The 14,640-nt window shown below is 49.0% G+C and overlaps 3 protein-coding genes across 9 annotated transcripts in view, besides 8 other annotated features; 1 reads left to right on the top strand and 2 right to left on the bottom strand.

The window, feature by feature from the left end:
- Window positions 1–12,849, top strand: part of NAA38 (N-alpha-acetyltransferase 38, NatC auxiliary subunit) — a 28,736-nt gene extending 15,887 nt beyond the window's left edge. The window contains exons 3-5 of one of the 4 annotated variants that reach the window (NM_001330111.2): window positions 2,976–3,043; window positions 12,336–12,519; window positions 12,691–12,849. In NM_001330111.2, coding sequence (NP_001317040.1) covers window positions 3,041–3,043; window positions 12,336–12,519; window positions 12,691–12,803 — 300 coding nt within the window. In that variant the 5' untranslated portion in view covers window positions 2,976–3,040 and the 3' untranslated portion in view covers window positions 12,804–12,849. Of the gene's footprint in view, window positions 1–2,975; window positions 3,044–11,974; window positions 12,550–12,690 lie in introns of those variants that run through there. The other 3 variants (NM_001320925.4, NM_001320924.3, NM_032356.6) reach the window with 3 other exon arrangements.
- CYB5D1 (cytochrome b5 domain containing 1) lies at window positions 7,252–11,531 on the bottom strand. 2 transcript variants are annotated; one of them, NM_144607.6, is made up of 4 exons: window positions 11,240–11,531; window positions 11,055–11,131; window positions 10,710–10,928; window positions 7,252–10,152 (listed from the first exon to the last, which is right to left on the bottom strand). In NM_144607.6, the coding sequence occupies exons 1-4, from the start codon at window positions 11,397–11,399 to the stop codon at window positions 9,922–9,924; spliced, it is 687 nt and encodes a 228-aa protein (NP_653208.2). In that variant the 5' UTR covers window positions 11,400–11,531; the 3' UTR covers window positions 7,252–9,921. The 2 variants fall into 2 exon arrangements, with proteins under 2 accessions (NP_653208.2, NP_001317039.1); NM_001330110.2 differs by having other exon boundaries at window positions 7,252–10,084.
- Window positions 10,554–11,415: an enhancer, noted in NCBI's record as "H3K27ac hESC enhancer chr17:7761437-7762298 (GRCh37/hg19 assembly coordinates)". NCBI's record gives its function as "activates a minimal SCP1, AML or CMV promoter by ChIP-STARR-seq in naive H9 embryonic stem cells {active_cell/tissue: H9 hESC(naive)}" and the evidence as "EXISTENCE:reporter gene assay evidence [ECO:0000049][PMID:30033119]".
- Window positions 10,554–11,440: a biological region, named in NCBI's record as "H3K27ac hESC enhancer GRCh37_chr17:7761437-7762298".
- Window positions 11,221–11,440: an enhancer, noted in NCBI's record as "active region_11652". NCBI's record gives its function as "activates an Ori minimal core promoter by ATAC-STARR-seq in GM12878 lymphoblastoid cells {active_cell/tissue: GM12878}" and the evidence as "EXISTENCE:reporter gene assay evidence [ECO:0000049][PMID:35858748]".
- Window positions 11,416–12,278: an enhancer, noted in NCBI's record as "H3K27ac hESC enhancer chr17:7760574-7761436 (GRCh37/hg19 assembly coordinates)". NCBI's record gives its function as "activates a minimal SCP1, AML or CMV promoter by ChIP-STARR-seq in naive H9 embryonic stem cells {active_cell/tissue: H9 hESC(naive)}" and the evidence as "EXISTENCE:reporter gene assay evidence [ECO:0000049][PMID:30033119]".
- Window positions 11,769–12,063: an enhancer, noted in NCBI's record as "tiled region #4002; HepG2 Activating DNase unmatched - State 1:Tss, and K562 Activating DNase matched - State 1:Tss". NCBI's record gives its function as "activates a minimal TATA promoter and a strong SV40 promoter by Sharpr-MPRA in HepG2 and K562 cells {active_cell/tissue: HepG2 | K562}" and the evidence as "EXISTENCE:reporter gene assay evidence [ECO:0000049][PMID:27701403]".
- Window positions 11,791–12,160: an enhancer, noted in NCBI's record as "active region_11651". NCBI's record gives its function as "activates an Ori minimal core promoter by ATAC-STARR-seq in GM12878 lymphoblastoid cells {active_cell/tissue: GM12878}" and the evidence as "EXISTENCE:reporter gene assay evidence [ECO:0000049][PMID:35858748]".
- Window positions 12,811–12,890: an enhancer, noted in NCBI's record as "active region_11650". NCBI's record gives its function as "activates an Ori minimal core promoter by ATAC-STARR-seq in GM12878 lymphoblastoid cells {active_cell/tissue: GM12878}" and the evidence as "EXISTENCE:reporter gene assay evidence [ECO:0000049][PMID:35858748]".
- Window positions 13,012–13,549: an enhancer, noted in NCBI's record as "H3K4me1 hESC enhancer chr17:7759303-7759840 (GRCh37/hg19 assembly coordinates)". NCBI's record gives its function as "activates a minimal SCP1, AML or CMV promoter by ChIP-STARR-seq in primed H9 embryonic stem cells {active_cell/tissue: H9 hESC(primed)}" and the evidence as "EXISTENCE:reporter gene assay evidence [ECO:0000049][PMID:30033119]".
- TMEM88 (transmembrane protein 88) lies at window positions 13,435–14,468 on the bottom strand. Of its 3 annotated transcripts, none has more exons than XM_005256856.4 (2): window positions 14,250–14,468; window positions 13,435–14,131 (listed from the first exon to the last, which is right to left on the bottom strand). In XM_005256856.4, the coding sequence occupies exons 1-2, from the start codon at window positions 14,457–14,459 to the stop codon at window positions 13,820–13,822; spliced, it is 522 nt and encodes a 173-aa protein (XP_005256913.1). In that variant the 5' UTR covers window positions 14,460–14,468; the 3' UTR covers window positions 13,435–13,819. The 3 variants fall into 3 exon arrangements, with proteins under 3 accessions (XP_005256913.1, NP_981956.1, NP_001306870.1); NM_203411.2 differs by having other exon boundaries at window positions 13,435–14,089; NM_001319941.1 differs by having other exon boundaries at window positions 13,435–13,763.

The following is a 14,640-nucleotide window of genomic DNA, read 5'->3' as shown; positions in this document are numbered from 1 at the left end:
CGCCTCGGCCTCCGAAAGTGCTGGGATTATAGGCATGAGCCACCGCACTCGACTGAGCATCATTTTTATTTCAGACTGAATGAGATATAATTAATACATTAAAAATCAACTTATTCTATATTCCAAAACTGTAGAACTCCTAAAATGTATCCCAGAGTCAATAATAAAGTTATCCACTCACTTCATTAGAGGAAGAGTTTGAGCTTTGGTGTCAGAAAGGTAGCACCTGGAATCCAAGCTCTGCCACTTAATAACTATGACCCTGGGCAAGCTATTTATCCCTCAAGTCTCAGCTCCTCCATCTGTAAAATGGTGTATTAATGCCTATCTCAAAGGGTTGTGGTGAGGTTTAAGTGAGCTAACTTACATAAAGCACTGGCTGTAATAAGGTACTCGATAATTGGTAGCTGCATTCTAAACCATCAAGTTTACTGTTAGCCACTTCTCTCTTCAGAGGTTCACTTAAGATGACTGCAAGGTGAGAAGATTCACAACCTGAGTTACGAGCTTAAGCACCTTAAAATCCTTTAGGAGCAAAGGACTGACTTTAGTTACTCTTCTCCCAGTAGTTGGCCCCATTCCCTTGCTTTCCATCACTGTATAAAGAAGCTCAATTCTGGCATGATATGAAACAAACCATATTTTACTTGACTCAAAAACTTCTCCTAATGGAGGAATAAACACTATTGTTAGGTTGGAAACTGAATGTTAGTCACAGATACGGTCTGTAATTTTCTAATCATGAGAGATGTTACCTGGATGCTGAAAAATGCCAAATCTCAAAATCCTGAGGGGAGGATTCATTACTAAATAAAGAATGGCTAGCACAAGGAATGGGAAAGAAAACTAAGGTTTTCTGAGTGTCTTTTCCAAGGACTCTTTATAGTGCTGGGCAGGTTCCCATTCCTTATTTAATCTTCTCAACAACACTATAAGGTAGCATCTTTTTAGGGTACCATGTCCTGGGTCTTGCCTGTTGCCCTACTGTCATCTTACTTTCTATTATCTGTATTTTATGGTTGAAGAAATGGAATCCAAAGGAAGGTATTTAAATATTCTGTGCATGGTTATAAAGCCAGAACACTCCTCCTTTCTGCAGTTAGATTTCTTCTAAGAATATCCCATGCATACCTTGTCCAACTGCAGCCTGGCTTCTCTAACAAAGCCACCATGACCTGCTGTTTGCTGAATCCATGGTCGCTCAGGTCTTCATCTTACGTGACCTCTGTGCAGCACTTTATACTGTTGGCCGCTCCCCTCTCTTCTGTGCTCTCTCTTTGGCTTCTGTGGCAACATTTCCTGCTTGGCCTCTTTCACCCTCTAGCTCTTCCTTTGTGGTGTCCTTTTCTCCTCCCCAAACCTCTGTAGATTGCACTTCGTCCTTAAGGGGATCTGATCCTTGACTGGCTACAGCTGCTATCTGCCAATAATTCCCACACCTATAACTCTAGCCCAGAGCTGTCTTTCAGGATCCAGTCCTATATATCCAACAAGATCTGGACATGTGCCTGCCTGCCCGAGTTACCTCATACAGCTAACTAAAAATTCATCACTTTCCTTCCCAAAGTCCTCTTCCAGCAGTTCCTTTTTCTGCCAGTGGACTCACCATCCTCCTAGTCATCCAGGCCAGACACGGGTGTCATCCTTGACTCCTCCCTTTGCCTTAGACCCCTACCCAAATTATCAAGTCCTGCAATTCTCTCTTCATTTCATCTCCGATCTCCACTGCCACTAACCTAGTTCTGGCTGCCTTTGGATCTCACCTGGACTACTGCATTAGGGCAGGTCTCTCTGTCTCCACTTTCTCTCCCTCATTTCCTTCTCTCTTGACATTGTAGTCAAGTCACCTTTTGAAAATGCAAATCTGATCATGTGATTCTCTCTATAAAACCCTTAACTCTGGGCCAGGTACAGTGGCTCACACCTGTAATCCCAGCACTGTGGGAGGCCCACACGGGTGGATTGTCAGGAGTTCAAGACCAGCCTGGCCAACATGGTGAAACCCCGTCTCTACTAAAAATACAAAAATTAGCCGGGTGTGGTGGTGCACGCCTGTAATCCCAGCTACTCGGGAGGCTGAGGCAGGAGAATTGCTTAAACCTGGGAGGCGAAGGTTGCAGTGAGCCGAGATCATGCCATTGCACTCCAGCCTGGGCAACAAGAGCAAGACTCCATCTCAAAAACAAAACAAAACATAAAACACTTAACTCTGTACACTATAAAAGGGTGAATATTATGGTATGTGAATTATGTCTCAATTAAAAAAAAATAAAACTTAACCTGGTTTACAAAGCCTTCTATGATTTGGTCTGGCTCAGCGTCTCTCATTGGCTTCCCTCCCCCGCCTCCCGCTTTCCTCTTAGCTTTACCATGCTACAGTTCCTTCTGCCTCCGAGCTCTCCAAACTCTCCAATCTACGTTTGCATTTGCTACTTATCCTGTGCAGGAACCATTCTCTCCTCCACCTATCCCTTGTCCTCCCCACTTGACTGACTCCTCCTTGTCCTTCAAATCTTAGCTTGAGATGATACTTCCCCAGAAGGCTTGGTCCCCCCGAACTGGGTTAGGTTCTCCTGATGTGTGTTTCATACTTAGCTCTTTTGTAGCATTCACCAAATATTTGTTCATTCTGTATTTATTGAGTGACTGCTCTGGGCTGGGCACTGGGCTAGGGCTGAGTATTTCATAAATGAGAGCTGTGGCCCCTGCCCCCATGGTACTTACAGTCTAAGAAGGGAAGAAAATGGACATTAAACAGTGAATTACACTAAATATTTTAATTATAATTATGGCATTTCAGAACACCCTGGGGAGGGCGTGTTAAGGGACTTGACATAACTGGAGGTATCAGATAAAGTGTCATTTAAGCAACTTTAAGGAGCCAGGTGGCCAACTGAAGAGTGGTGGGTGGATTGTTCCACACAGAGGAACAGCATGTAGGAAGGCTCTGATGCAAAGCTTGGGGGGCATTTCAGAAACTGAAAGGCCAACGTGGGAGACAAAGAAGAGCCTGAAAGAGCCAAATCTTACCTTCTGGACCATGGTAAGGGTTTCTAAGTTCATCTTAAGAGAAGTAGGTTGCCTTTGAAGACTTTTAACATGGGAACTTTAAAAGTTCCCCGTGGCGGCCGGGCGCAATGGCTCACACCTGTAATTCCAGCACTCTGGGAGGCCGAGGCGGGCGGATCACGAGGTCAGGAGATCAAGACCATCCTGGCTAACACGGTAAAACCCCGTCTCTACTAAAAATACCAAAAAAAAAAAAAAAAAAAAAAAAAAATTAGCCGGGCTTGGTGGCGGGCATCTGTAGTCCCAGCTACTCGGGAGGCTGAGGCAGGAGAATGGCGTGAACCCGGGAGGCGGAGCTTGCAGTGAGCCGAGATCGTGCCGCTGCACTCCAGCCTGGGCAACAGAGCGAGACTCCGTCTCAAAAAAAAAAAAAAAAAAAAAGTTCCCCATGGCTACTGTGTAAATAAGGAAGCAGGATGACAAATTAAGAGAATCACAAACTTCCGTGAGTCTCCCATTAAACTGTAAGCTCCTAGAGGGCAGGAACTGTGTCATTAATTTTTGTATTCACAGTTTCCAGGACTGTGCCTGACAGATGCTCAGTATCATTTTAATGAATTGAATAAATGATAGGGCCAAGATTCCAACCTAGGCTTTCAAGAAAGGCTCAAGTATCAATGCCCTGTCTCCCCTACACACAACCCTTCAAAGACCACCCCTCCACTCCACCCTAGACTGGGCTGGATACCCCCCTTTTACCTCCAGTGCATCTCTGGTGGATTGTATTTTCTAAATATGCCCACAATTATGTCTCACATCCCACATGTTCTTCTTACAGTGTAATTCCGAGACTCTTCCCGGTGAGAGGTGGGAGCTAGTTCCCTTCCCTTGGAATTGAGGCTAGGTCATATGATTCAGCTTCCTCTTGGTTCTCTTGGGATGCTGTGAGGAAGCCCAAACTGCCCTGTGTAGAGGCCCATGTGGAGAAAAACTGATAGCATTGAGAGCTATGTGAGACAGCCATCTTGAAAGTGGATCCTCCAGCTCCCCACAGTCCACCCCTTTGGGAGTAGAAGTGAGCTGTCCCTGCTGAGCCCTACCCATATTGCAGATTCATTGGCAAAATACAGCAGTGGTAGGTAACTAGAATAGCATCCTATGTTTGACATGCAGGGAGGCGGTATGTTAGTTGGATGGGCTATGACTACCTTGGTACTCATTAGTTGTATGACTTTTGGCAAGTTACTTAATCTCTCTCTGCTTCAGTGTTGTTTTTCAGTATAAATAAAAATCGTACCTATGCCTTAAGTTTGTTGGGAGGATTAATGTTGGTAAATGCAGCTCTACAGGTAATACAGATGAGTCATGTGAGCATCTCCTCAGACATGCCTCTGATCATTCAGCCATCGCTCTCGTGATTCTGTGTGTCTTTATAGTACTTTCACTCTATTCATAATATGTTTATATATAGGTATGTGTATGTACAGGTTGAGCATCCCTAATCAAACACCCAAAATGCTCCTAAATCGGAAACTTTTACATGCCTACATGATACCACAAGTAGAAAATTCTACACACAAGTACCTAACACAAACTTTGCTTCATGCACATAATTTTTTTTTTTTTTTTTGAGATGGAGTCTCACTCTGTTGCCCAGGCTGGAGTGCAGTGGCGTGATCTTGGCTCACTGCAGCCTCCGCCTCCTGGTTTGAAGCCATTTTGCCTCAGCCTCCCGAGTAGCTGAGATTATAGGCACTTGCCACCACACCTGGCTAATTTTTGTATTTTTAGTAAAGACAGGGTTTCACTGTGTTGGCCAGGCTTATCTTGAACTCCTGGCCTCAAGTGATCCTTCTGCCTCCCAAAGTGCTGGGATTACAGGCGTGAGCTGCCACACCCAGTCCAGGCACACAATTATTTAAAATATTGGCCAGGCACGGTGACTCATACTTATAATCCCAACACTTTGGGAGGCCTAGGCAGGAGGATTGCTTGAGGCGAGGAGTTTGAGACCGGCTTGGGCAACATAGGAAGACCCTGTCTCTACAAAAAAATAAAGAATTAGCCAGGTATGGTGGTGCTACTCTGAGGCAGGAGCATTGTCTGAGCTCGGGAGTTTGAGGTTACAGTGAGCTATGATCACACCACTGCACTTAAGCCTTTACTCCCATTCCCACTTTGATGGATTCACTTCACTTATTCATTCACCAGCTTTTTGGGTTTTTCTTTTTAGTGCTTCCGGTGTGCCTAGAATACCTAGTACTTGGGGTGCATATCCATTTGTATTTTTGAATCCTTAATCTTTGGCTTCCAGGATAAAGATCAGTCAGGTTTCTAATTCTGTGTGCATTCTTACAGCCAAACCGTGTACTCTACTGACCCATGATCAAGTGGCTGTTCTCCCAACAGCAGCCCATCCATGTGGCCTCCCTAAACTTAGCTGTGGTGCTGGATGCATTAACCTTATCGTGATGTATGATTGGATGTTATAGTATCAAGACCAAATGATGGATCCCTTTACTCAGCTCCAAGGTACAGCCAGATTAACATTTGGTACAGTAGTAAAACACTTGAGACTCGTCATAAATTTAGCCCCAAAGGTTAGAGCTTTAGGAATTTCTGCCATGGGTTGCCATGGTTCTGCCACAGGCTGAGGCAGACCATTGAGACAGATGCCAGAATATTGGGACCACATTGTATTATAACTTTTGATATTTTACTTTTGAGGCTGTTTAAAGTATTGTTGTGTATGTGTGTGTGTGCGTGCTATTTCAGGAGTAGGAGTAGGGGGTTGGGCTATTTGGAGAATCTGATGGAAATTATAGCACCATTTTCCAAAAATAATACACATCCACAGACACACACACACAGAGTATTTAGAAACAGTTTCAGGATGGCCAGGTTAGTAATCCACCTGTGACTTGCTGTAAGGGTAGAAACTTTTCTATACCATAACTTAAGCCTTTATCATGTACTATGTTCATTTATCTTTTCATGTGTGCATGCTTTATCCCAGTGAGCAGGCAAGCTTCCTACAAGGAACATATGCCTCTTTATGACCCCCAGTAATGTGGGCATGTAGGGACCTCACCTGTGGGAAATCTTGCCAGTTGAGTCCTTTGAAGCTGCTGTGATTCACTGAGGACGGCAGCCTTCCCTTCAGCATTCCATCCTTCACCCACCACCCTCTAACACAAAAGAGATTACCACAAGAGGACTTGGACCCTACACTCATGTTCTGTTTGCTTTCTGGGTTTTAGGCTAAAGCATTATTTACATACTCCTCATGCAAATATCCACTTGGCTATTTAGAGAACAAAGCAGTGCCTACTGGAAAGATTTTTTTTAAGTATTAATAAGTGAATGCATTCTATTATTTTAAAAATTTGTGATGTCTTTATCCCTTTGTCAGCTCCATACTTTGCCCCATACACTCCCATACCTGTAATCAGGACCTCCTTTTTGTTCTAGCCCATGAATTCCTAACTGCACTCCTTTCCTGCCATGTGCTTGTGAGAGAAAAAAAAGCAGGCATAAACCTAATGCTAATAGAACGGTGGCCATGTGGTTTTTCCTTGTTTTCTTGTCCTTCCCTCCCCCTTATAAATCTCCAAAGGCCACCTTCCCATCCTAACTTTGGAAGGGTTTTCCCTCCAGGCTTGTCTCCCTGACTCTATAGGTAATTACAGCCACCTGGTGGCCATATGGGGAAATGACAGATGGATTGGCCCCCAAAAATCTGGTGAGACCCTCTTTTTTTTTTTTAACTTTTTTTTTTTTTTTTTTAGATGGAGTTTCGTTCTTGTTGCCCAGGCTGGAGTGCAATGGCACTATCTCAGCTCAATGCAACCTCCATCTCCCGGGTTCAAGCGATTCTCCTGCCTCAGCCTCCCAAGTAGCTGGGATTATAGGTGTGTGCCACCACGCCCGGCTAATTTTTTGGATTTTTAGTAGAAACAGGCTTTTGCCAGGTTGGCCAGGCTGGTCTTGAACTCCTGACCTCAGGTGATCCCCATGCCTCGGCCTCCCAAAGTTCTGGGATTACAGGCGTGAGTCACTGCACCTGGCCAGAGACCCTCTATGGAATAACTTTTGGTTTTGGATATTGGGGAAGCAAGGAAAGTGAATCCTATGGATAGAGACTATAGCACAGGAACCAGACATCCTATTTCTTGGTCCTTCCTTGCCTACTAGGACACAACATCCCCCCCACTAGGTATAGACGGATGAGTTCACTTAACATTGGAGTTCATTCAAAATTTATTGAGCTGCAACTGTGTGCTCAGCAATGAGAATATAGCAGTGAGCAAGATGTGAACAAGATCTCTGCCCTCGTGAGCTTACAATCTAGCAGCGCAGCCAGCCTATTACAGCCATAATTTTACAATTGTAATAAAAACTCTGGAAAATGCATGGTGCTAACTGATTTATCAGAAAGTCTTGACCCACCAAGAAATCAGAAAAGACCTCCCTGAGGAAGGAACATTTAGGATCAGCTAGGTGGAAAGTGAAAGGAAGAGTGTTGCAGGCAGAGAGGACAGTGTGTGAGGGTCTGAGGCAAGACATGTAATGAACTGAAAGCCAGTGTGTCTAGGCCATAGAGAACAAAGAGGGGTGTTGCGAGATGAGCCTGATTTATACAAGATCTTTGAATTTAGGACTTTATTCCAAAAGCAGTTGGAAGCCACTGAAGAAGCTAAGGAAAGTTCGATGTTTAGGTTTGTTTTTCATAGCTGACTCTCATTGCAGCATGGAAGTCAGAAGTGGAAATGGGAGAACAGGTTAGGAAGTTTCCGTAGCAGTTTAGACAAGAGGTGATGGTAACTTGGAGAAAAGAAGATAGGTTCCAGAGATATTTAGGAGACAGATTACACTTGATGAGTGACTGGATGTGTGAGGAAAGGGATGTGTTTCTAGCAAGAGACATTGAAGTAGGAGTCTCTGGAAGAGGGACAGGTTTTGGCAGAATGGGGACATCCTGTAGGCACAGGACAGGCCCTGAGGCTTGCACTAGAGGAACAGCATAGCTTTCATTCTCAAATAGTTCAGGGTTTAATTGAGCAAACAAGGTACACATAATTGCAGAGTTGATTAAAGATCAAAATGATCGATTTAGATAATTCATGGACTCCTGCATTCCATGGGGTTAGATTTAAACCCTCCATCTCACAGTAAATTCAGATACTGCCGAAGCCAACAGCAATGTTTCCACCTTTGTTCATGCCTCCCAAAGCCCCTCAGAAAATGCCTATATAGCCCACCAGTATCTCACAGGGGCCACCTTCTCCTGTGCTGGGCCCTGGTGTCCCCTGCCAGAAGACACACTAAACTCTTCCTGATTTGTTTTTTGCTTGCTGCTGCCAGGAAGTTCAACTGTCTGTCATTCTCAAATCTCCCCTCCTTAAGTTAAAGGAGACCAAATCTAGCCATTACCCCCAATAGTGGTTCTCTTTTGGTCACCAGGAGAGTTTTCTGACTTAGTTAGCATCTCTGTTTACATTACCCCTGTCGAGCTCCCTCTTTTGGAGTCACCGTCTTGCAACCCTGTCTTCCTCATCTTCTCCAAGTGGCAAACTGCCTCCTTTTTCTCCCTCGCCAAAGTGTCACTAATTTGCCGGCCTTTTCCCCACTCTAGTTTTCCTTCAAGTTAGTAAATACCCACCTCTTTGCCCCAAAAGGTCAGGAGAGAAATCTGGGGTATGGGATTAACAAAGAAGTAGCCCCAATAGCTATTGCTTAACTGACACTTAGCCTTCCTTGCCTCCTCTTCGCCACAGGAGAACTCTGCAAACTCCCTTCCAGAGACAATAACTGCAAACTATACAATAGGACCACAATTTCCTATTGTGCAGGGATCCTAGGACAAAGCCACATCCCAAATACTTGCTGAGAGCAGTGGCTACAAATGTTAACATGAGATTAGACATTGAGATGGTCCCTTTATATTGAGAGAACATGGACTTTGGAGTTGGGCAGACTTGAATTTGCATTCTGGCTCTAGTGGTTACTACCTAGTGTGGCTTTGAGCTATTAAACTTTCCAAAGTTTCGAAGGACTTATCTGTAACATAGTAATGGTAATCCACCTTATGGGGTAGTTGTCTTGAAGAGGCTATTTGGGAGGCTGAGGCAAGAGGATCACTTGAGGCCAGGAGGTTGAAACCAGCCTGGGCAACACAGCGAGACCCTGTGTCTACAAAAAATTAAAAAATTAGGCATTGTGGCGTGCACCTGAAGTCCCAGCTACTCAAGGCAGAGATGGGAGGATCACTTGTGCCCAGGAGCTCCAGGCTGCAGTGAGCCATGATTTTGCCACTGCACTCCAGACTGGGTGACAGAGCAAGACCCCTTCTCTTTGTTGGGGGCAAAAAAAAAAAAGAGGGTATATGAAGTACCTAGTATAATATCTAGCCTGAATTGCCTATAATGACGCACTTCCTTTCTTTCCCTTGGGTTTCAGCTGCCAAACACTCTTCTACAAGTAAGATAAGCCAGCTTTGTATGGTCAATGATAAACATTTCCTATTTCTTTGTAAATCCCATCTTCCTGCAGACATCTCATTTCCATCATTGCCAAAAAAGTCCTTCCATCCCTCACCCCTGTAGAACTACTCTCTCTTAACTATCAAACAGTTCTGCCTGAACTCTGACTATCCTCTTCTACATCTCCCTAAACCAAGGTACTTGATCTTCTTGTATCATTCCCAAAGATTAATTCACTAATTTTCTCAGAGCAAACTGTAATGAAGGCAGGGAATAGGGCCTTTACACTTCAGAAGGGCACAGGCTAGCTCCTGGAGAGGAGTGGAGATCTGGGTCCAGGCACCCCTCGGCCCCACCACTTTTCCTCAAGGCACAGAAAAAGCCAAACTCGAAATACGTCTTGAGTCTACACGAGTGTACATCTCCTTGCCTACAACTCCGTGAGATCATCATTGAAGTACAGAAGTATTGCAGGTGTGTGAAGTGTACCGTCCATACTGAGATAGTCAAATTCTTCCTCCTCATCCCGGATCCCATTCTCTTCCAGGGTAAAATCCATGTTCAGGTTCTTCCCTTCATATTTCCACGTGTAGCTGGCAGCATGTGAGTTATAGGGGAGATAGCGGTGTAGGATTTCCCATATGGACTCCAGAACCCCCACCTGGAGAACACAGAAGCACCCCACCCCCAGAATTCTGGATGGAGTATACATATACACACGCTGGGATCAAAGTGCCTCCCTTGGCAGATAGCAGCTTCAGGTACTCTACGGCCCCGGGAAAAAAAAGCTGAAACTCCAGCATGCAATGAGCAGACCCTAAAGTCCTACAGATCTTAATGGCAGCCACTTCTAACTACCGGATGGCCATAAAGGGTCAACTGTCCCCTCACTATATCCATGCAACAGAGTAGATTAAAAAGAAAGTCCAATTGCTGTCCAAAACGGCGTGTAAGAGCTTCGAAGGACCACCATCACTAAGATACATGAACTGCTGTTCCCAGGCTTATAAAGGAGTCTCTTGTCCCCCTGTGACCCAGACACTCCTAGAATTCCCAACCCTGGGGACCTAGGTGCTGTGCTTTCCTCAGTTGCCTCAATGTAAAGGACAGAAAATACACTCCCACCGGTTATGGAAAAAATGTTGCCCTGAAGATCGGCCTGGAGATTTGCTGGGATTCCCCATTCCTTCTAACCTGCTCCTTGTCACCAGTTCTCACCTCCAGTGTGTGCTCCTGCGACGTGAGCGTGTTAATGATGCGGATGCTCCGGGTCTTGGCAGACAGCCGCCCCACCTCATAATACGACCCCTGCCACCAGGGCTTCCCAAAATCGTTGGCCCAGTCCGAACAGGGCAGCTGAGGCGGAACGTGCACAAAGCGGCCCCGCGGGGTGCAGTACCTCAGGCAGCCGGTCAGCGGATCTATGTGCTTGCGGATCTTTAAAGGAGGGTTTGGGGCGAGGGTGTCAGAGCAGCCATTAGGCTCTGGCTAGCCTCCGCCTTTCCTTCCCATCCCCGCTCTCCATTTCCTCTACCCACAATCCCAGGTTCCAGCATAACTCACGTCTCTGGTCTTTGGATCAAACCAGTGGCTGATATCCTGGCCTGCAACTTCCACGATGGGTTTCAGCAGCAGGTTCCCTTGAAAAGAGCAGCACAGCCACTGTCAATGCCAGCCCTTCGAGAACCAGGCAAACGCGCGCGTGCACACACACACACTCCGGCCCCGGCCCAACGTGTGGCCCTTACCCTTGTATTCCTGTGCCAATGACGTTAGGTCGTACACGCGTCCCAGGTAAGATACCCAGAGGTCTTCGGGCCTGTTATGTTGGGCCACCTCCGCCGGCGTGAAATAGCGACGCTGAAAATACTCCAAGTCTGGCCCAGCCACCAGGCCCCGGCGCGGCATGGCTCTTGCTCTGTCGGTCACTGGATCTCTTGGTTACTCCTTTGCTCCTCAGCACGTACTCACTACTACTACGACCTCCGTCGCGTCCGGGAGCCGAGGGGAGAGCGTTTATCCGCTGACATGGAAACCATTGTCCTTTTCCGGCCACCGTCCACTGAGATAAATATCAGGGGCGGGGTTTGGACTGCACGTGTTCACGGGAAACGTAGTATGAGTCCCGCGTGGGGCATATAAGGATCAAGTAATTGAGTTGCGCCGCTTTCAGGAGTTGCGGGGTGGGGCAGAGAACGAATACGCTCCGTTTTAATTCAGTGGCCTGGGCTACATGGGATATTTAGGACAGACTATCTCTCTGAGACAGAAAAACAAGGGAGGAGGCAGTATGAAAGAATGTATTCTCGCTAAATTCCAGTTTCTAAAGGATGTGTAAGAAACCAGAGGTAAAGGTCTCGCGATATCTTAAGACATCCGGCGTAGTACGCTTCAGTGAGCCACAGCGCTAGAGAAGTAGGAGAAGCTCGCGAGATCTGTGCCGTTGCCGAGGAGACTAGGAGGGGGAGGAGAGGGGATCTCGCGAAAGGAAAGAGGTCGGGAGCGCTCGCGAGATCTCGGACCACCCAACCTGAAAGGTGCTTAGGAAGTTGAAAGGCCCAGAGGAGGCCTCCGGGCAAATGGCCGGAGCTGGACCGACCATGCTGCTACGAGAAGAGAATGGCTGTTGCAGTCGGCGTCAGAGCAGCTCCAGTGCTGGGGTTAGCACGGGCTCTGGTTCTGGGACTGAGGGGCAGTCAAGCAGCAAGATGGAGGGGGTGGGGAACTGCAGCTCCCGGCAGCCTCTGGGCTTTGTGTGAGTGCCCCGCGGGCTGCCGGGAGCTGTGGTTCCGCGGGCGGGCAGCCTGGGCTGCGCGGTCTGAGCGCTTGTTACACCCCGCGCAGGATTCGGACGGAGAGCGCGAGGACTCGGCGGCTGAGCGCGCCCGACAGCAGCTAGAGGCGCTGCTCAACAAGACTATGCGCATTCGCATGACAGATGGACGGACACTGGTCGGCTGCTTCCTCTGCACTGACCGTGACTGCAATGTCATCCTGGGCTCGGCGCAGGAGTTCCTCAAGCCGTCGGGTCAGTGCCCGGGGAATGCACACCCGCCTGGTAATGTGGCGGAACCTTACGCAAGGCATTTCCCCTTAAGGGCCTGGCTGCAACCCTTGTTTTCTGGGGCTCGTTTTCGTGGCTCAGAGGGGCGGGACTGATTCTGGCCTACTTTCCTGATGCTCTGATCCTTCTTTCCAGATTCCTTCTCTGCCGGGGAGCCCCGTGTGCTGGGCCTGGCCATGGTACCCGGACACCACATCGTTTCCATTGAGGTGCAGAGGGAGAGTCTGACCGGGCCTCCGTATCTCTGACCACGATGGCGCTTACCTTTCAGACTTCATTAAACTTATGACCGAATGGGCCTGTGTCTGTGTGTAGCTGGGATGCCGGTGCAGGATAGCACACCCCATCCCTAGAGGAAAGGGCTCATCTGAAGTCGGGAGCACCCTCAACCCTCCTCTCCCAACCAAGATGTCCAGGGGTGCCAAAGGTTCTCTCAAGTTCAGGGGTAGAGATGGGGGGCAGGGCTGAATGACGGACCAACAGGCCCCAGGGTGGGCCCCTGCATCTTCCCTCCCACGGCTGCTGCTCCAGAATTGTGGCGGGAGGGGGTGTCATCCTGCTCCGGAAGGCCCATTGTTTCCCACCCCGGCCTGGCAACACCGAGTTCCTCTAAGCTGGGGTCAGAGAACGGGCTCAGGTCCCCAAGGGGAGCAGCGGCAGGCGGCCGAGGCTGGGCCCCTCCACTCTATTGAGGGGGAGGTGCCTGGGGTCAGGAACAGATCTCTGAGGTCTGGCCAGGAAGAACGGACAAAAGCGATAAGGCCAGGGGGCTCAAGGATGCTCCTCTCTGCTCATTTGTAGCCCTGGCACATGTTTCCTGTTCCTCGGCACAGGGCAGGGGTGATAGTACTTGTGCCACGCCTCTGTTCGCAGAGCGCGTTCAGTTCGTTAAATCTTTATTGATGCGTGGACACTCCTTCCCCTCCAGCCCCGCCCCCCAGCCCCAGAAATACTAGAGAAGCTGCACCATAAAACGAGGGCACGAGATTGTTGTCCCATTCACGACGGAGCTGAGGGGGAGGTGTGCAGGTTCCAGCCTAGATGTTCAGGATTGAGATGTGGGTCGTGAAAGGAAAGTGGGTTTTCCGGGATGTGGGGGCTTTTCTCAGCACTGGGTCCACTGACGCTGCTGCTCCCAAGGGGATGCTAGGACTCCGCTCAGGCAGGGGTGGGGGCAGGGCAGGTCGGAAGATGCCGGGCTTCAAGTCCTTGGGCCGAATAAGAGGGAGGGCAGCCGTCAGGGTTGTTCTTGACTCGAGGGTCATTAGACCCAGACCTTTCCTGATGTGGGAACGGCCTGGGACCCTGGTGAGGCCCGGATTTGCCGCGGCTGCGGGGCGCGCCGACGCCGATAAAGGGCTCGGCTGTAGGGCACGAGGCAATCGGCTAGGCGGAGGCGCAGGCAGAGGCGGCGGTAGCTGGCCAGAGCAAGCACGAGCAGCGGCACGAGGAGCAGGAATCCGGTGACCAGTAGGGCCGTGAAACCGGGGTCCCGCAGGTGCGCGGTGCAAGGGGGTGCCTGGGAGCGCAGGAACTGTGGGAGAAGAGGCGTCAGGCCCAAGCCGACCAGGCGATACTGTGCACGGGGTGGAAACAGCCCAGGCGGGTTGAAGTTGTGGCCCATAGACCCCACCGCCAGCATCACCACACACCAACACTCACACTCACACGCACACCCCGGGGCGCACGCTCACCTGAGAGTGGCAGAGGAAGCCGAAGCCCAGCATGGTGACAGCGGGTAGCAAGATGGTCCCTAGCACCAGCACCAGCAGGAGAAGATTGAAGGCAGCCACCAGCAGATTCTGGGCTGTTACAAGAACAGCGCAGGCCCAACAGTCCAGGGGGTCCCGGGGCTCTGGGCCGTCACCAGGAACCGCTCGCTGTGCCCCGGGGACATCCGCCATGGCCCGCCTGGATCCCGCCCGCCTGGGCCGCTGCCCTTATAGCCCTCTTTCCTGCCCCTCCCCCGGCCCAGCCTCTCCCCACCCCCCTTATCCTGGAATGCGGCTCTAGGATTAGGCACCCCCCATCCCGAGGAGCGGACCAGAGCCCTGGACATTCCACAGGCGCCTCCGGGGAGGGGCT

Source organism: Homo sapiens, chromosome 17 (genome assembly GCF_000001405.40).
Source record: "Homo sapiens chromosome 17, GRCh38.p14 Primary Assembly".
Taxonomy (NCBI): Eukaryota; Metazoa; Chordata; class Mammalia; order Primates; family Hominidae; genus Homo; species Homo sapiens.
Note: the sequence above shows the minus strand (reverse complement) of the source record. Positions and strands in the feature narration are given on the sequence as shown.